General features: G+C 39.5%; 1 protein-coding gene across 5 annotated transcripts in view; it reads right to left on the bottom strand.

Moving 5' to 3' along the window:
• Positions 1–20,860, bottom strand: part of MACROD2 (mono-ADP ribosylhydrolase 2) — a 2,057,682-nt gene that overhangs the window by 537,134 nt on the left and 1,499,688 nt on the right. For all 5 annotated transcript variants that reach the window (NM_001351661.2, NM_001351663.2, NM_080676.6 and 2 more), the window contains one exon: positions 16,217–16,290. In NM_001351661.2, the coding sequence (NP_001338590.1) occupies positions 16,217–16,290 (74 nt within the window). The remainder of the gene's footprint in view (positions 1–16,216; positions 16,291–20,860) is intronic.

The raw sequence follows: 20,860 nt of genomic DNA, 5'->3' as shown, positions 1-20,860 counted from the left end.
AAGAGAAAGCAAAGCAGGCAAACGGGGTAAGCCGTGTGCCCATCAGCTATAGATCAACAGATCATAAGCTCAGGCTTGGGGGTGAGCTTTCTGAAGTCTTGACTGTCTCCAATTTGTCCTGAGGATAAGCTTCCCATTTTAGACAACAGTCTAAAGCTGCCTAACTCCAGCACACTGCCATCTGTCCAAGATAAAGGAAAGAGCAGGGTAGAATTTTCTCCAAGCCTGGGCTACATCCAGAGTCTGGCTGAATCTCTGCACACTAGGGCTGGTTTTCAGTCCCTTTCCTCATTTGAGGATAGGAACAGAGTTCAAGGCTTGAATCTTAATCTGTATGAGACAGATACACTGGCTTTATACATGCTCAGCTCCATCATTTAAGAAACAATTCAAAACATTCGTTCATTCAATGCATTTTTGTCAAAGCTTTTTATGTGCCAGGCTCCTTGGATTAAAACACAAAACAAAAACAATGCATGGATGAATTTACACAATTGCAGTCCTTGAGTCAGTGGGAAAGCTGACAGGTACATCCACAACCACAGTAAAAGACAGTGATATTTGGAAGGGAAAAGTTTTCCTAAGGCCAAGGAAAAATTCACCAAAGATGCAGTATTTGAGCAGAGATAACAGGAGTAAGTACAGATTTTACTCTGTAATCTCAAGAGCCATGTGTTTGCAACAAAGGCAGCACTGATCGCTGAGAAATTAGTCACTATTAGGGTCCTGCTCTCAGGGAGATTTTGAAATTTCCTGGGCTTGTTAATCATTTGATCATGTTTGACTAATGAACTAATGGAAATATCCATGGCTTAGAAATGTTGATACCACAAATGACTATTCAGCTCTAGTTCTAATCACATGAAGCCTTAGGAGCTTATAAGAGCAGCAGGCTGGATAATAAAAGGTCCCATTTGTAAATTATTTCATTCAACTTGCAATGAGTATGGTCCTGGCATTGTGCTAAAGGCAAGACAATAAAAGTTGACCAAACCATGGACCTGCCATCTTGGTTTCACAAATAAATTACCAAGCAACTCTTTCTAAGTTGTATGAGCTGCAGCATGGAGGGTGACATGGGATAATGCTAGAAGAGATCTGAATTAGACTGTAGTGAGATTCATAAGCATTGAAAGGAGATCTCTGATACGGTAGTTTACTTTTATCATTAAGGGAAAATACAATGCTTTTGATGATTGTAGTTATGAACTTGGAATTCTGAATTAAAAACTCAACTGCCATTTATTTGCTGTATGATCTTTAAAGTCTAAGTTTTCTCATCTCATCAAAAAAGGGGAATAATTATGACTATAACATAGCATCTTTGTGATAATTAAATTATTTAATTCAAGTAAGGTACTTAGACAAAGGAAGCACTCAATACTTCAATGCCTGTGATTATTTTTCATTTATATATGGTTATGTATCACCTAATGATGGAATACATTCCGAGAAATGTGTCATTAGGCAATTTCACTATTGTTTGAACATCATAGAGTATACTTATACAAACCTGGTGCTACAGACTACCACACACCTAGGTTATATGGTACAGACTATTGCTCCTAAGCTACAAGCCTGTACAGCATGTTGCTTTTCTCCATATTGTAGGTAATTGTAACACAATGATAAGTACTTGTGTATCTAAACATATCTGAACATGGAAAAGGTACAGTAAAAGTATAGTAGAAAAGATTAAAAAATGGCACACCTACATACGGCATCCACCATGAATGGAGCTTGCAGGACTAGGAGTTACTCTGGGAAAGCCAGTGGGTGAGAGTGGTGAGTACATGTGAAGGCCTGGTTCATTACTGTACACTGTTGTGGACTTTATACACACTGTACATGTAGGCAACCCTAAATTTATTTGAAAATGTTGTTTCTTTAATATAAATTAACTTTAACTTATTGTATTTTTTATTTTTTAAACTTTTGACTCTTGTAATAACACAGTTTAAAATAGAAACACATTTTATAGCTGCACAAAAATATTTTCTTTCTTTATCTCCTTATTCTGTAAGTTTTTTCTGTTTTTAACATTTTAAATCTGTTCATTGACTTTTAAAACTTTTTTGTTACAAAAATGAAGACAAAAACACTCATTAGCCTAGGCCCACATCAGTTCAGAATCATCAGAACATCACTAGGTGAAAAGAATGTTTCTACTTCATTAGAATCTTATGAGATCACCATTTTACATGTGTTCTGTTGTTGACAAAAAATGTCATTATGTGGCACATGACTGTATTTTTAGTTAGTGAAAGACCAAGCTCAAGTTGATTTGCTTTTGAAATCCAGTTACCCTGGGGTATTATGGGTAGGCCAAAAAGCTTACTTTTATTGGTAATGAAGCAAGATGCCACATTATTTTAAATCCTCAAAATGAGGTCTCTTGGATTCAATATGGAAATTTATGAAAAACAGTATGATGTAGGGTTTGAGTATATCAATCTTTCTCTTGTCAATGTCTCACACACGTGCACGCACACACACACACGCAGAGCCTCTGGTACATATATTGAAGATATTTCATGTTTCACTTAGTTCAAGGCTCTAAGCTGCTGGGTAAACCAACAGCTTTTAAGATTTTCACAGGTAAAGTAATAATGTGTGTGTGGAAGGGGGTTTGGGGGCAATTTAAATCCCATTCCTGCTGCAACAACTTCATGGAATCCCTTTAATTACACATTTAACAAGTCTAATAATACATTTCAGAGAATACATTTATCATCACCTCTAAAGAAAACCATTACCCAGCTGTACTTAGAAAACAGGGGATTTTCTTTTTCCTTTGACTCCCGAACAGAACGTGACTATTTAGGGGTTCGCTTGCTGCTGGCAAATGGCCATTTCCTGCCTCTAGACAAAAAGGCTTGAAAGAACTTATAAAAAACAGTTGAAATCCTCTGTAGACATCTAATAAGTTACAAAGAAAAGAACGTTTGATGAGTTAGTGCAAATTAATCAGGGACATATGGATCCTATTTCCCTTGAGTTTAAATTTGTAGAAGGAGGAACTTAGAAAAACGAACTTTGTAGATGTCACTGAACCCAAGGGAAAACCATATGAGATAATTACTCCACTTAATACATTCCTAAGCTGCCCTGTGCTTAGCTGAAGCCCACCCAGGTCATTTGTAGCTCCATTTGCACTGTCAAATGCACACCCCATCAGCCTCTAATTGTTTTCAGAGGAAAATTTTGAACAGCAGAAAATATTAAGGTAGGTAGTGTTCTCAGCAATGAATTTTAATATAGAGTTTCATTTCCTAATTCCTTAAAGAAATCTAATTGTGCCAGCGGTGGGGGGACCTAGAAGCACCGTGGGTGGCACGTATCTCCACATCCAGGGTCTGATTCACATGAGGGTGGTGTAAACCGGCTTCAGTAAAGGACAACAGGGTACCAACCGGAAAATCATCTCTTGCCGCTATGCTTAATGGCACCTTCATGTCCAGGGAGAATTAATTTGCTTCAGATGACTGAGTACTTGACTCTCAAAAGTTGTTTCAGGAACCAATATAATTACATAAGATCCATGAGATAGCCCTGTTGGCTTTATTTTCAAATCTGCCTACAATAAGTACTCAAAGAAGAATTAAGTTGTGTATGCTAATGATTTTTAGTAATTTATTAAATGCATCTCTTGCATAGAGGCATCAAAGGCAATATCCAGAGACAATGATTACTATCAACAGGATATTGGGAATATACTAAAATCCTTTCTAAAAGATGGCAAAAGGCCTCTACTGTTTACAGGGTGCCACAAAAGCTGTCTAGCAACTCCCAAAGATATTTAATGTGAGTTGAGTTACATTATGTGTAAACTTCATCAAACTCACTTATTGGTCAACCCATGTCAAGTGCTTGTGAGTAGAAAGTAAGCTGTGGCCACCCCAGGACTAGCTAGACAATACAGCCCCAACCCTAGACTCCTAACCCCTTGTTAGAAGGCCAGTCGTAAACTGGTTGAGAGGAGAGATTTACTCTCACAGTTCTCACTTAACATAGCCTTTTCCTTATTGAAGAGAACAAATGGGAGTTTTTATTGCAGTATGTCTTAGCCATAAAAGATTGTTGAGAGCAACTGGCCTAATCTTTCTCAACCACTACCTGAAGAAATTTTCAAAATATAGGCCACTATCTTCTCAGATATTCTGATACAGTAGATTTAGGGTATGCCCCAGTATCTGATTTAAGGATTTTTCCTAGATGACTTTCACCTTATCTTACAGGTGAGGAATAGGTCCAGAATGATTGTCACATCTCCAAGAATTTTCTTGTCTCACTGACAAGCTGAGCAACCTCTTGGTCATTAGGGGAGTACTTCAGTAGGTAACAGGGCAGAAGAAGCCGCCCAGCCTAAGGGAAATCTGCTGGTTACAAACAGGCAACATTTATGTTGCAAAATATATACAGCTGAGTTATTCTTATGCAATGTTCAAGCTCTAAGGTCAGCACATAAAGTGAAAATTTCACATGAGCAAAATTTTTCTTTAAAATTCATTAGAAAGGCCTTATGTTGTAAACTGACACATCACATCTCAGTAAGTCCAGGAAACCCAGTTTTGTCTCCAGCTTTAGGGGAGATTGCTGGGCCTTTTTTTAAAGACCCCATGATCAAAAGGTGAAGTTTTGCGCTTATATCGAGGAGCAGTGTCAGAGAAGCAACAACAACTAAAAGTCTTTACATCTTAGCATCACATCAATGCAGAAAGAAGCTAAGGAACATGTGAAAATTTGGACCGATTGGAAGAAAAGAGAATTCATATGTCTTATTTCAGTCAATGGTTTATTGTGAAACTTAAATGATATCATTTAAATATTTTTTTCTCCTTATCTCTTCTTTTAAAGAGTGCACACAACAGAGGATATATGCGTGCATAGCTCCTTCCTGTCACTGGCCATCACTTGCCCTGGTGCCCAGCAGCTCAGATGCTGGGTGGCTGCAACCTTTGCTGTGGAATCGAGTCTAAGGCCAGTATTTCAGGATCCACGTGGGGCTTCGCTTCCTTGCCTGAGGCCCTTAACCTGGAATCACAGATGTGAATCTGACCAGGTTTTAGTAACTTCTATTCAACACAAGTTTAGTTAATAGTAGATCCCCCAATATTCTTCTATTCTCTGCTTCTTGCAAATGAATAGTCTCCTCACTAAAAGGTTGGGGCTTTCTGTCATGGACTTCGAAGGGGTTCATAAATAGAAATGTAGACGACATAACTGATTGCAGGACAGCACGTTAGCCAGCCCTTCTGTCACTGGGCTCACCGTTACAGCCTCCAGCGGTGCATGGCCAGAGACCCACAGTCTTCGGATGTTTTTTCCAGTATGTTTTCCATTGAGCCATGAAATTGGAGAAGCAAGTGTTTTGCCAGACCTATTTGGTTTTCTTACCCTAGTGAGTAGCAGTGGCATCATCAAAGGAGTCTAGTCTTTCCAGAGGAGCCACCTCTTTGCCTAGACGTGATTAGAGAAACAATGAGATGGTTCAGCTCTGGTCACAGCTTCTATCGGAAACAGCAGCCTGGCTGAAAACATCACCCATCAACAAGCAAATCATTTACTTCCACTAGAAAGGGGAAATGCCTTTTTTGTTTTTCCCTGAGTTGAGCTAGATGACCGTATCAAAACTGTTAATTTTCCCTTCAATCAGGGCAGCATACGAGTCCTAGTCCATCAAGGTAGAGGACAAGGAAAAGGTTTCTTTTTCCTTCCTACCTAGAAGGGATGAAGGTGCATGCTTCTATCTCCAGAAAATGGTTGTTAGAATGTCCTTCAGTAGGACCTCCCAGTGTTGTTTTTATCCCTGTGTCTGATGTAGTTCCAACCACATGCTCAGAGGTTTACTTTCTATTTATAAAAATGTCACATCATTTGGATAATCAGCACATTTAATTTCATAAGGAGCTTTAAAAGTTGGCTATTTTGAAACCACCATATAATCCGGATCATTTACAGAAAATCAACATGGCGGCCTCTCCTTCTACACTAAATGGGTCAAGGTTGTTAATATCAACTCTAAAGATACACCCATATGGGGGTTGGTAATCATCTTAAAGGCATACAGACAGCACATGCAAATGTTGCTTGATCTTTGGTATGCCACTGGAGGAGCCTGGAGAATCACAGAGTGTAAGCCTTCTTACAGGTCTGATTGTGCTATGAAGACATGGTCAAAGGCATGGCCAGGATGCATCAGTGGGCCTGCTCCAGAAGACACACATCAATGGCACAGAATCCTGAAGCTAGAAGAGACATGCCCACCCTCCCTATTTTACAGATGAAGAAACTGAGTCCAGAGAGATGGAGTTAATTGTTTAAGGCTATGTAAGAGTGTGGAAAATTCTGATTAGAACACCAAACTTCCTCTTTGGAGTGAGGGTACACAGTGGTGGTTATAACTGCACCCTACCTCTTACCACTCTACTTCTAGGAGCCACAATTCCCATTCCTGCTGCACGGAAGAGGAGCTGAGCTTCTGTTACATAGTGAGCTCCTGAGTACATTCCTGCAGGCTTGGAACTTCTAAGCCAAACTTTGCAAAGGGATCCGTTCTTTTTCAGATATACCAATCCCAACCCTAGGAACATCCTGGCCAAGTCATCTGAGCAAACTGCATTCTCTCTCCTTTTTTTAATACCTGCACCCTGAAGTTTGATTTTAAAGAGTTTGCATTTCACCTGTCTCATGCTATTTCTTAGTCTCTCCTCAGCACTGGCTTCTGTTAATGTGTGTTTCCTACCTCCAGGTTGCAGGAAAGAAGGAGAAAAATACAGCCATCAGAAAATTAATTCATTAGTTAATTACTATCTTTTGATGGTCCTCCAGTATGAAGGGAATATTGAAAGACTGATTTTATAAAAAGCACTCTAATTTTACTATTTAGGACAGTGACTCTCAAAATTTTTCCAGCCAACACATCTGAAGGATGTAAAATATTCTCATCATAAACAGTGGTTCAACATAGCACAGGTTCTCTGAAAGGAGTAGAATAAACTATTTAAAGCATACACTTTTGAAAAAAATAACCCTCCAAATGATTCTCAACCTTTTCTTTTCTCTAGTTAAAAATTATTTTTTGAGTTGTAAAAACTTAAAATGGGTGGCCATTGCATTTTGCTAAAATATACTGCTTTTTGCTTCAGTTTTGGTTCTTCACTTGAGCCAACAGAATGGGTTCTGTGACTCTTGCCAACTGCCCTCAAATCTGGGACATCTTCAAATTATCTTCTTAAAGAAGAACCTTCCAAAATGGTAGGGAACACGGTAGCTGTGCTCCACATCCCTCAGGTTCACCACCATTTTTTATTCCTGACTCCAGGTGGCAAAGAAATCCCATGGAAAGACCCTAATCAATCTATTTTGGTTTTATTCTCATGTATGGCTAAATCTGGGTAAGGTGCCCAACGCTAGACAGGCCACAGAAGCAAGGTTATAGTAGAACATGAAAGTATCTTATTAGTTGACTTTTAAAATTTCCTTTAACTGTCACATCTAGGAAATTAAAGATTTTAAAATAACTACCTTGAAGAGAGTTTTGTGAAGACAGAATGCATCTTTGGGCCATGCCTCTGCCATGGGACACATCAGGAGTCAGATAAATATTGATTTCCCTTACCTCTTTCTTCCCTCTTTAACTCCTTCATGTACCTATTCTATACCTCCTAGAACTCTTTCTAGAAGGTCTAGACCTATTAGCAGTATATATGAATTACCCTCCATGCCTATTTAAACAAAATCCCAACCCCCCAAACCACTCACCCCCAGCAGAGTATTTTTCTAGGTTCTCTCTGCATTCCCATGCACTCCATTCTGTTTATCTAGATACAGTGGGGCATAATGGACATAGTACTAGGTTCAGGAGGGCTGGCTGAGGAGGATGTATATTGATTATATGCAAGTGCAGAAGACAGCAAGCCACCCTAATCTACATAGGACTGTAGGTTGGTGTCCCTAGAGCACCCCAAGGCCTTGATTGCCTGATATCCCCTACTGGGAGGAAATAAAACAAAACATTTGTTGAACTTTGATGAGCTCCCCACCAGAGTAAGAATGGGTGACAGGGCATTTGGGCAAGCTCAGCTCAACGCCTAAAAGTGTGTAATTAGAGCCCTCCCCATCACTGGCTAACTGGTAATAAGCTCACTAACTGAAACAGCAAAATGCATATTTTCCCATGCACTGTGCTTCCTATTGACCACAACAGGGCTATGGAGCCTGAAAGCAACCCTTGATGTTGTCTTGGGGCTTTAGTTTCTGGCTCCAAAACCTCATTATGCCAATTGTGAGAGATGCTAAAGCAGGGTGAAGCTGGAAGTGTCGGTGGATCTGTCCACTTGGCAAACTCTTGTGTGGCAGTGTATGGTGACACCAAGCACTGGAACACCCCCATCAGAAGGGGAGAAGCTGCCTTGGGGATTAGCTTTTATTCTAACCGTGGGAACAATAACTGCTTGTCACAAATCCCGACAATGACAGACTCAGAGTGATAAGGGATTGTCTGGGCTGGGGCGGGCTGGTGGGGGGAAGAAAAGAAAGAAAGAAAAAGAAAAGAGAAGAGAAAAGAAAAGAAAGAAAAAAGAAAAGGAAAGAAAAGAAGAAAATAAAAAAGAAAAAGAAAGGAAGGAAGAAAGGAAGGAAGGAGAGAGAGAAAGAAAGAAGGAAGGAAGGAGGGAGGGAAGGAAGGAGAAAGAAAGAAAAAGGAAGGAAAAAGGGAGGAGGGAATTGGGAGAAGCAGGAAGGGAGGGAGGAAGGAAGAAAGAGGGAGGGAGACAGAAGGAAAGGAGGGAAGAAAGGAGAGTGAGAGAGAAAGAGAACGGTAGGGAGAGAGGGAGAGAAAAATAAAGAGGTAGAGAGAAAATATAAAATGTTAGCAAGTCATCAGTGTTCTTGAAGAGCAAAAGCGACACAGCGTATCTGCAAAATCTGGGACTAACTGTCCTCAGTGGTGTCACAGCCTATGAGTGTCATGGCTCCACCTGAACGACACATTTGGGCTACTCAAAGGATACGTTTTTACGGCAGCATATTAGGATGATGATGATTATTACCATAACCACATTACTGCATAGGATGTGACCATTTCAAAGCTGCAATTTATTTTTTCAAGTGCACAAATTTTAACACTAAATTCCACCAAAAACTAAGACCATAATAGGTACTCAGATGATGTTTGTGGACATAAAAAGGCATTCCTGAGAGAGAGCACGGAGCATTTCCTTTGCTCCTTCCAGGTCTCTGAATGTTAACCACACCCCTGCATTGCATAGAATTGGAGGATGGCACATTATGCCTTTTGCATAAGTGTAAATAATAGTCCACAGGAATTTGGAGCTTGTTTCGAAATATATAATTTTCCCATCATAAATGTAAGCATCATTTCATGTTTCATTTAAACCCCCTTTTTAAGAATCACAAAGATCCTAAGGCGTTTCATGTCAGAGACATAAGGCAGGCCCCACACTGGGGTTTTTTTTCGGTGATCCATAACGTGATGCTGAAATAAAAGTGGCAAACAATTTTTAACACTGCATATGCTCAAAGACCTCTGCCAAGAAGGGGGAAAAATAGTCTTGGCACCAGAAGTTAAAGTGCAACAGTTTCTTTGTGATCAGTAATGAGGAAACAAGTGGCTGTGTTCTCGATCTTGTCAAATCAGCATGAGAGCAGCATCTGAACCACTCAGGAGGCTGGACGTGCATTTCTACAGTGGATTCCTAATTCTGTTTTCTGGGGTGGAGAAATATGTTCAGCTTCTTCAGCAGTTTGTGAATCATGTGCCTGAATACTGGAAGGCAAGGGAGGGTGACAAGGCTAACTGCTTCCACGCAGTAGAAACCAACGTCTCTACTTCCAAAGGACATCAAGGATGAACTCAAAGCTAATTTTGTCTCTGGCTATCGGCATCTTACGGTGAGGTCTAGACCACACTGGGTGAGGTCTGGGAGCCTTGGCTGGCATCAACTTGCCGAGCTGGACATCTGTCTCAGAGCGATGCTGCCACACATATACAGCATCTCAGGATCCCCTGCCACATCTGTAGGCTTGCTACTTTAAGTGACAAACAGCAATACCACAGGTGTTGTGTTTCCCTCCGAAGGCACAGAGTAAACTATTTAAATGACAAGTAGATGATATTTAACATTTTGAACAACAATCTGTTTGTGCTAAAGGCATAGTTAAAAAAAATTATGTCGGGCAAAGACCCAAACCTTGTACGCGAGGAGAGAAAAGTACCACCTTCCTCCTATATAAAAGAAAACCCATTTGGGTTTTGAAAATGCAGAGCTGGGGTTTTTCCTTGCCAGTGATTTCCAAGTCTAGGCAGGTGACCTAGCCAAAGGCCTTCAAAGATGAACCAAACACTTCTCCATTGAATTGTCCCCAGCCCAGAGCAATGGGATCTGTCTAGGGAGGAGAGCAGTATAGATAGGAGGGAGGATATTAGGGAATTCCCTTGGAGTAGTGCAGCGGGAAGGAGTCCATCCTCAACAGCCCACAGAGATGATGCTGGGGCCGGGCCTCAGGGGAACCAGGGGCTCCCCTTTGGATAGCTGCAGGTGGCCACAGCTTTACCTAGAGCCTCCTAGAACGCTGGGTTTCTGTCCATCTATCTGCTTCTTTATAATTGATGGTAGGAGGAGAGGGGTTCAGGTTTCCTTCATGTTACAACTAATCCTTGATCAGTACTTTAGGGTTCCACATTTAAAAGTTCCTGGGAAATCCACTGATCCTCCAGCTCAGAATCGTCATCTTAGAAGCCGTATTCCCTGACTAGCAGGACTTCCTGGGAAAACGAACACATGGTGCTATGTGCTGTAGGATGCTTGCTCCCTTGGGGTATCTGAAATATTGAATATGACCACCATGACTTGGAAATGTCTCACAATATCAGGACATTTGTGGCTCTGAAGGGTGAAATGCATCCTGTTCTACTTTTCTGTGGAAAAAATGGCAAATATGTGCATTGTCTCAGAGACCAATAGCCAAATGCCATATGAGTCCCTGGGGTAGAACAATAGAACAGGCACTGTAAAAACATTTCTTAGGCTAACTTTCAGATATGAGCAGGGGGTCTCAGAGCTGCAGAGTGGGGAAATACCTATTCCGCAAAGAATTATATTTCTAGATTGCATGAAAAATAAGGAATGCATGAAATTGCATTTGATAACACAGAGCAGCCACCCCAACTTAGAAATCTAGGCCACATTTCTACTGTTCATTTCCATAACAGTCCCTTATTTTGCTCACCTATTTCTGTAATAAAGTTACTACTTGAGAAAAATGGTGCACTTAGAGAAAGGTTATCATGCTACCTGCTGTCAATTTTTACTGCCAACTCTGATATTCTTTTCTTTTGGTTTTCTGAACTCAGAAGTTCTTAATACTTAATTTAGCTGAAAATGCCAGTGGGTAATCTTCAGACCCTGCCTGCCTCATGTTTGATCCCTGGGTTTCTCTGCCACCTTACCTCTTCAGTCATGATTGTCATTTCTTTGTATTTCTCTTCTGTGTTGTGAGATAATTCATCTATCTGATCTTCTCATAGCAATAATTCGGTTCTCAGTAGTGAATATTCTTTTTTGTTTTTTTAAGATTTTCAACTCAAGAGTCATCATGTTTTTCAGTTCTAAGTCATTTTTGTGCCTCAATTACAGCCTTTTGAGAATGCTCCTTTTTTTCTTTTCTTTTTGTTAAAGTGCTGCTTTAGCTCTTCTGCTAGAGCTGCCACTGTTTGAGCCACTGTGCTGTGTGTGCAGCAGCGTTCCTCCCCTCGGGTTTCTGAGTCCTCTTAAATATATGCTGTGCCCTTGGAGTTCAGACTTTGGGTAAATTAAACAAGTGGATGGTGGGCAACAGAATATGATTTTCCCCCTCCTGACCACTGGGACTCTAGTCAGACCTCTCTGGGTGTGGAAGTATCCAGCTACACCAGCTGGCGGTGATTTATGAAATTAAACATAAGCAAATCAACTACTGTGTTGGGAAAGAAAAAGTGCACATTCCTGATGGTTTAGAAATCAGAGAGTAAGTTAATGGTGAAATGTAAAAGCTCATCAATTATATGACAGCCTCAATTATTTATGGGGAATGATAGCCACAAACTATGAAATTTGTGAATGTTGAATAATAAACTCAGCTGAATAAGAAAAGCATGAGCACTGATGGGAGACTCACATTACATAGATTCCTCTTTTTTGTTTTTTAAAGGAAAATTTTGGGGGAACCTCACCAGCTAAGAGCTTCAGAAAATGCAACCTTATCCACTGAACCCAGGCCTTGCCTCAAGCAGGGCTGATTGACCCATGAATGGACAGACACAGTCATGATGGGGCCACGCGTAAGCAGGTGAATGAGAATAAAAGATAACATGCAACATGATAATAATAATGAAACAGAGACATGGGAGAGATAGAGATGGAGTGGGAGAGAATGAAAATGAGCTACCTTGGTTCTTATTGGATTTATAGTTTGGGATTCTATAATTCATGAGACCCCTCTCTAGTTCCGGCCCTTGGATTTCAAGACTTTTTTTAAGAATGTAGTTCACTTATACAACACATTCTCCTTTATGTAAGCTAGTTTGACTATATTCCTTTTTCTTGCAAGCAATCTCAAACTGAGGCCGAACCCAAGTTAAAGTTATGGTAATCTGATCAATATCACCCGGTCTTTCTTTCCTACTTCTATCTTGAGCTTTAGGCTCCAAGAGCCAATTGTCTATTTGAAATCTTCATTAGATATCTAAAATCATTTCAGACTTAACTATCTGTAGCATGGCAACACAATTCTTGTCTTCTTTATATTTTTCATATAAACATGCTCTTATACCAATATTCTTCATCTCAGTAAATGCACCAAAATTTACCCAGCAGCTCAGGCCAAAAATTTAGTTGTCATCCTTGATTCTTCTCTTTTTGTCATATATCACATCTGATTTACATTTATAACAGACATTACTAATTTTTGTCAATATTCAGTTTGCTCTATTCTGAACATACAAAAAGGCTGCATTTTCTTGTCTCCTGGAACTTAGTCCCTGGGTGCCTTTTTCTGGACAATGAAATGTGAGTGAAAGTTATATACATCATTCCTTTGTAGAAACATTTCTACAAGGGAATTGATTATCTATCTTTTCTTGTCATGTGATAGATGATATTTCACATGGTAAAGTATCTGTCAGCCCGGATTTGTAAGTCAGTTCCCTCTGCTGACTCAAGACGTACAAACAGTGTGAGCAAGAAACATACCTTTGCTGTTTGTGATACCAAGATTTGGGGGTAGTTTGTAACTGCAGCATAACCCTATCCTAACAGAAAACAATCCTCTAGTCCTATTGGCTGCATCATCAAAGTGTACCCCAAACTTGACGCTTGTTACCTCCTTTTCTACCATCACTGTATTCCAGAGCACCCTCATCTCCTGCCTGGATTTACTGCAGCATCCTCTTAATTGGTCTGCCATTTCCTACTCTGATATCTTATAAATATAAGATATCCTTTTCGGAAGAGCAGCCAGGCTTGTTTTTAAAAGGTGAATTATATGTGTTATTCTCCTACCCAAAACACTTCAACAACTACCCACTAGAATAAAATTCACAGTCTCTCTATGAACCACAAGACCCTATAATCTGACTCTGTCTATTTCTCCAAACTTGTCTCCTGCCATTCTTTCGTCTCTCTGCTTCAACCACATTGGGTCTCATCATTGCTAGCAAGCAGTGAGCTCATTCTCTCTTCCAGGCTTTTCTCCTATGGTTCTCTCTGTGTGGAATGTTTTAACTCAAGACCTCTGTATGGCTTGGCTTCCTCCTTCCCATTGTACAAATCTGTATTCCAAGATTACGTCCTCAGCACGTCTACCTAAAAACACATTCTCCAATTGCCCTGTTTTATTTTGTAAAGCACTCTTTGAACTTCCCTATTTCTTTATTTTTTATTTGCTTAATTTATGTTAAGCAAACATAATTTTTTTTTCTAGACTACCAATATGACAAAGCAAGGATTTTGTTTTTCAGTGCTCTGTCCCTGGAATATAAAAAAGTATCTGTTGCTTAGGGGGAGTCAATAAATATTTATCAAATGAGTGAATTAATGAATAAGTAGCTTAACCAATCAGAACATCAAAATAATACTGCAATGAAGAGAAAACAATTAGAAGCAATACTCTTTTATAAGTCCTTAACCTAGTCTGTTGTTTGTTTTAACAGAGGAAAAAATAAATCAAAATACTGCTAATCAATTTATTTAGCTTTTATCTAAGACCTACCAATTATAATTCATTTATTTAGAAAAACCTGATATGTTCAAATTGACTTGCTTAAATTAGAATATTGAAACTAGGGGTCTTTTTTAAAAGGGAATCAGTACAGGATATGTTTACAGTTGCAATAGCAATAACTGAGTTTCTCAATCCAAATTATCTATATTTTCTACAATGGACCCAAGAAATTAGCAGAAAAATAAAAGGATATGAAAGCAAAAGAATGGACTCAAAGATAGGGTAGGCAAGTGAATTAAGTAGAAAACACTAGATTAGAAAATTTCTATGGAAAATAACTTTCTGAATAATTTAGCTAGAGAGAATCAATGAGTAGAATTTGTTGATGAGATGTACCTGTGACCAACATGTTTATTCTTCATCACTACATCCTCGATGATATGACTTTATGCATATGTCCATCACATCCCAAGATGATGCATGAAAACTTCCTCCAGTGGGGCATATCCTTGGATTACTATTCTAGTGGAAATGATGGATATGCACTGATACGCTTGCTCAGTTATCAACTTTCACTCATGCAACATGCTACACTTTTGCAAAGCAGTTAATCCAGGTGTGGAACATTTACTATGACCAAGCAATATATTGAAGATAACTGGCTTTTAAAGGAACTGAGTTTCTCTTTCTGGCCTTGGTGGCATTCCAATGAGGAACGTCCAGTGAGTTATGAGAGCTGGATTAGTCTCTTGGCTCTGTGACTTTCCAATCTTGAGTATGTCATTTAACCTTTTGAAGGCAAATGCAGATGAAGATAACATATACCTACCCTAGAGATTTCATAAGGTTGTTGTGAAAAGAAAATAAAATGTGTCAAAGACATGTTTTGTAAGCTGGCTATTTTAGCTATTTGTTTTTCTCCTGCTTCTTTTAGGTGATTTAAGATATCCTTTAAATTGAAGTTGCCATATTTATACATTTCAAAGTAAGAAGAAAATAAAGGGTAAGCACCCAAATGGATAGGTTTGGCCACGTGGTCAACAAATGCCGAAATTACAATAATTAGAAAATGACACTGCTGTTTCTTCAAACACACAAAAGTACCAAGTGCTTTCTCATTTGAAAACCCCGTCACCTGTTTCCATATCTAATTATTTCCAAATAATTCATCTCCTACCCAAGGAAAATAGCTAAATTCATGGTCCATCAGAAAATGAAACACAATTTTTATAGCCCTTATGTGAATAACTGAGGAGAAAAACAAAATCAGAAGAAAAATGCATAAGACTGTGCATTGCCTGAAACCTCCTAGCTGTTACAATATGTAAACTGACAAATCTCTGAAATTTAACGCTCCACGGTCTCTAGTTATTTTGCTGCTTTGTTTACTTGAGTAATTCCCCTATTCATCACTAAACGTATCACAAAGATCTTATTAAGTAAGCAGAATAGGAGGATGATGAATACTCTGATGAAGGTATTTAGTTTCATAAGAAATCCCGCTCATAACGATTTTGTGATCAATTATACAAGCCCACTTCAATCTCACACTCAGAAGTGACTTTAGGGAAGTGATTAGTTATAAATCCAAAGAACACAGATACCAGACAATTACTGTACACCAGGAACCTCAAGTCAACAAAGATAACTTAGCTTTAAGGAAAATAGCATAGGAAAACTCCTTATTCTTAATGAAATCCATCCCCTTCTCTTTTTCACACATATAACCCATACTATCCACCAATGTAAAAAAATTAGATTATGGCTAAATGAATCTGGTCACTTCACCAGATAGATCAATAGAGTTGCTGCATTCTATCAATTACCAAAAAACATTTAATTACTCATGTAACCCAAGTGAAGAATGGTCAGCTAGGTTTGGCTCAATGACTAGGTGTAGTTGATATTTATAAAATTTATGTGCTTTTTTGGGGGGAACTGAGCATCAAATTACATCATCTTGGATGTTCACTGATTATGTCGTTCCTCCTACCTCATGGTGATTCTTGGCAAGCCATTCCTTAATGGTGTTGAGGGCAATGACTGCAGCAGGCTCGTTGGGAAAGCCTAGATGAAGAGCAGGAAAAAACAAATGAACAACGAAAGATGAAGGCAAAAGGGAGGCTAATCACGCTATGATACTGGAGTTTTCTCATTTAAACAACATTCAGTTCAACCAATAAGTACAGGCCTCAGTAAGATGTACATGGATATGAAGCCTGTGATCCTACACACAGGCATTAAGAAGGCTGGTCCTACACCAGTACAGAGTTTAAAAAACAAAAAGACAATAAATAATTTAATTGTGTCTCTAATCTTATAACAATATCAATTAAAAACATATTTACATATGCATAATAGATTACAATATACTTTCATATTATTTTCTTGTAAGAAGTGCTCAGATTAAAGTTTATTATCCTCAGCTTAAAAAAAAAGTACATGTGTCTCAGAGAAAACATGCAGTTAGTCCAGGGTCAGTTCTGCCAGTCACAAGGCCAGCAGAACTCCACCAATGAAACATACCACAGAAACTTATTGTCAGAATTCAAAGAGGGTATTTCCTGTTTCACTTGGGGCCATCAGAGGTGATGCTTGGAATTGAGACAGCATGAGATAATCAGGTCTTGTTGCATAGGTTTGGTTTTAGAAGGGCAGCAAGAATGACAGACTTATGCTTTGTCCCAAAGAGCAGAAGCGTACATGCTCAGAGTCTCCAAAACACATTCAGAATGTCACCATAGCTGATCTAAACCAAACACATTCCTGGACCTGCAGAGTCATCAAACATTCTGCCAATAGTGATGGTATGTGAAGGAATAACCTTATCAATGTATATATTTACAGAGCAGGAAGCAGAAGAGATAGGAGTAACTATGCTACTGAAACTACGCTCTTTGAGCTCACCACTGCCTTCCTAATCACCAAATCCCATCACCTTTCAATTTATCTTCAAGCTCTCTAGTGTTAGATGTGTTTGACTAGTTTTTTTATGTTTTATTCTCCTCTCACAGAATTTTTATTTTTTAAACTTTATTACTTATTGTTTTAAAGTTTACAATTCAGTGGTTTGTACCATGTTTTTAAAGTCTTGCCATCATCACTAATTCCAGAATATTTTTATCATCCCAAAACAAAAATCTGTACCCATTAACGGTCACTCCCCAATCTGTCACCCAAAGCCCCTGGTAACCATTAATCTACTTCTGTCTTGATGAATGTGTGACTTCTTCTCCTGAATTTTTCAACCCTGCCTTCTTCCACGTCTTATTCTTCCTGTTTGACCAATTCTTTCCTGGCTTCTTTCTAGCGGCATTCATTAAATGTGTGCCATTCCCAGCATCCTAAACTCAGCCCTCTTTTTTTCCTTATACGGCTTGTCTATGAGGATATCTTCTGGTCCAGAGTCTCCTGGAACATTTTCCATACAGACGCAGAAAGAGAGAGACGTTGCGGAAATGGAGAGAACCAAGACTTAAAAGACCCAGTTTTATTGGAGGGCAAATATGTATTCTAGTAGTTCAAACTGATGGTTCAGATCTCAGTACGTCTTCAGAAAAAAAATGAGTGAGAGGACAAGAAAAAGACAGATATTGTCCCCATTTCCAAGAATATGTGTTGCTTTCCTGATTAGGTTTCTACAGGCTTTGCTAGAGAGTTCATTAAGAAAGGGGACAAAACAAATCAGAGCCAAGCTTAATTTTTCTTAGAGACAATGACTGTTATACAGAAAATGTGCGTAAGTTCTTGAACCTTTGCAATGTCTACCACATTTGGGATTGTGCATTTGTTATGAATTGTTTAATCCTATTCGTTTTCTTTAAATGAATGCACCAAAATGTAAAACTCTTAAATTTTCTTTAAAGTTAATTGTCAGTTAATTTATTTAAAAAGTATTACTGAACCCCACACGAGTAGCTATGTCATACTTTTAATGAGTCCCTGTCCTCTAAAAGCCCAAAGTCTAGGGGAGGAAATAGACAAGTAAAGAGGCAAACAAAATGCAGCATGACAAGTGTATTAGGGGTATGTGGACACAGATAAAGAGGACTAAGTTAGAAAGAAGTGTGAGGCTTGCAGGAAATAATAGAATATTTGAGGAAGAGGGCTGTAAAATGGGGAACCAAGGAGACATTATTCTCAGAAATAAGCTGTGAGTCCCGAGGAATCAATGGGAAAGGTTAGGAAAAATGAACGGGAGAGAAAAGCAGAATGAGAGTACGGGTGAGCTGCAAAGAAGGAGAAGGAGGCGGCCAGGTGCGGTGGCTCACGCCTGTAACTCCAGCACTTTGAAGGGCCGAGGTGGGAGGATCACGAGGTCAGGAGCTCAAGACCAGCCTGGCCAAGATGCTGAAACCCCATCTCTACTAAAAATACAAAACTTAGCCAAACGTGGTGGCGGGCACCTGTAATGCCAGCTACTTGGGAGGCTGAGGCAGGGAATTGCTTGAACCTGCGAGGCAGAGGTTGCAGTGAGCCAAGATTATGCCACTGCACTCCAGCCTGGGCAACAGAGCAAGACTCTGTCTCAAAAAAAAAGAAGGAGAAGGAGGCCAGGATGGGCATTTCCTGTTAGGGGATTAACCATAGGAGGCCTTTTCAGTCCATCTCTGCCCTGAATTTAACATCTAGATTTATAATCGCCTGGATACTTCCCTTTAATACACTTCAGCACCAGCAATGCAATACATGCTCCTACCTAAAACAAATGTCATCCCTGGCTTTCTGGTTTCTGTCTATGGCTTTACCTCTCTCCTAGTTACCGCCATGTTTGACGGACTCCCCTGTTGGTAACCAAGTCCTAAAGGCATTGTCCCTCTGAACTATTTTCCACCGCCCCTTCCTTTCCTCCCTTTCCCATTGATTTCATTCAAGGTCTGATCGGCCCTCACCCAGACAACTGTAGTTGACAGCTGTGCTCCTTTGGTCTTCCTTCCCTTCTCCAATCTATCCTGCAAGCCACTTTCAAGTGATTCTTCCTAGGCATAGGCATAGTTAGCATTACACCTCAACCTTACACAAAACAGAGGCAGCCTTTGTTGACTCTCCAACACAGAATAAACACAGGCACCTTAGCTTTGTGTTACACATTCCAATGACCCCAGGGGGCCTTTCTAGATTTATTTCTCAGTCTTCTCTTATTTATTCTCATCTCATAAAATTCTTCTCCAAATGTTAGGTATGTTGAATAAGTACTTACATCATAAAATTATAGGGCTATAAAAAACGAATAAATACTGCAATCACACTCAGTTGCAATGACCATCAGTATTAACATTCACCTTTAGAAGACATAATTCCCCACAGAGAAATTATACAAGTTGTCATAGAACCATGGCAACTATGGTCAGTTCTCAATTATTTGTGACCTCCTGGTCACTCTCTCATATTCATCAGAGCATCTGGCATTGAGTTATGGTTTTCATCTTAACCTCAAGGTTTGCTGTAACCCCACGTGATTTCAACATCCACAAGAGTGACCCACCCCGCGCTTAGCCAGTCCATTGACCCGCTCATCTTCCACAACAACTTCCTCCATGGATCGTGCCCTGGACCTTGATGCAACATTCCCGATTCAAAGTTACTGATTTAAACAGCTCTCTCAAAACTTGTTTTCTCGTTAGTTTGTTTGCTCAGCTACTTTCCAAGGAATACTCTTTCACAAGCATCACAAGCATCACAATCATTTGAAGCCGACTCTAGCTTCAAGCCACTCCCCAAGTTAGTGGCAACATTTCTCCCCTGAATAAGCTGGCCCTTTCTTGTCTCTCTAGTCTCATCTCATGTTGCATTGCTCTTTGTTTCCTCCACTGCAACGACACTGGCCTTCTTTCTGGTCTTTGAATGTGGTATTTTTATTTTGCCTTCCTGTCATAAGGCCTTGCTCATGCTCTTTCCTCTTTCTGAAATGACATTTCTCCTCCTTTTTTCCTAGTGTATATCCATTTTATTTGTCCTCTGCCAGGTGATCACTTCTTCAGGAAAGGCTTCTCTGACACTGATGACTCCCTATGTTGTGTTTTCATAATACCATGTACCTTTACCTCACAGACCCATCACAGTTGCAGTTCTGCATTTATTTATGTAAATATGTGATTAATAACCTTAATAGAGTGAAAACCCTGGGAGGCAGATAACACATCTGTCTTTGCTTATCACTGGATACCTAAAACATTGCTGGCACATAGAGAATGATCAATAACTAGGTGTTGAATGACTGACTGGATTACAGACTTGTGGATCTTTGTACATATTGACAACAGGAAAAGGCTCACTCCTGGGAGCACAGGGGTGTTTAGCCTTAGAGTATGGGGAGGAGGAAGGGATGCTGAGAAGGTACTCAACAGATTGTTATATTCAGAATATCCCTTTTCATCCCTGGGGAAAAATATAGAGATTTATGTGAAAATCTAGTTCCTCATAGGAAGATGTTTTGTGATTAATTAAAAGGGGAGAAAAATATCAAGATGAATATCCCTGATAATATGCCTGCTTTCAGTGGACATGGATATACAAGGTAAAGCATGATGTTCAGGATAAACAGCAACAGGACAATTCTTTCTCCACTTAACTACAAGACCTCCGGGGTTATAAATAAGACCAATGAATAGACAAAGACAGATTTTAGCCTAGGGAT

The sequence above is a fragment of the Homo sapiens genome, chromosome 20, assembly GCF_000001405.40.
Source record: "Homo sapiens chromosome 20, GRCh38.p14 Primary Assembly".
NCBI classification, from domain to species: domain Eukaryota; kingdom Metazoa; phylum Chordata; class Mammalia; order Primates; family Hominidae; genus Homo; species Homo sapiens.
The sequence above is the reverse complement of the archived record's forward strand: the minus strand, read 5'-3'. Positions and strand labels throughout refer to the sequence as shown.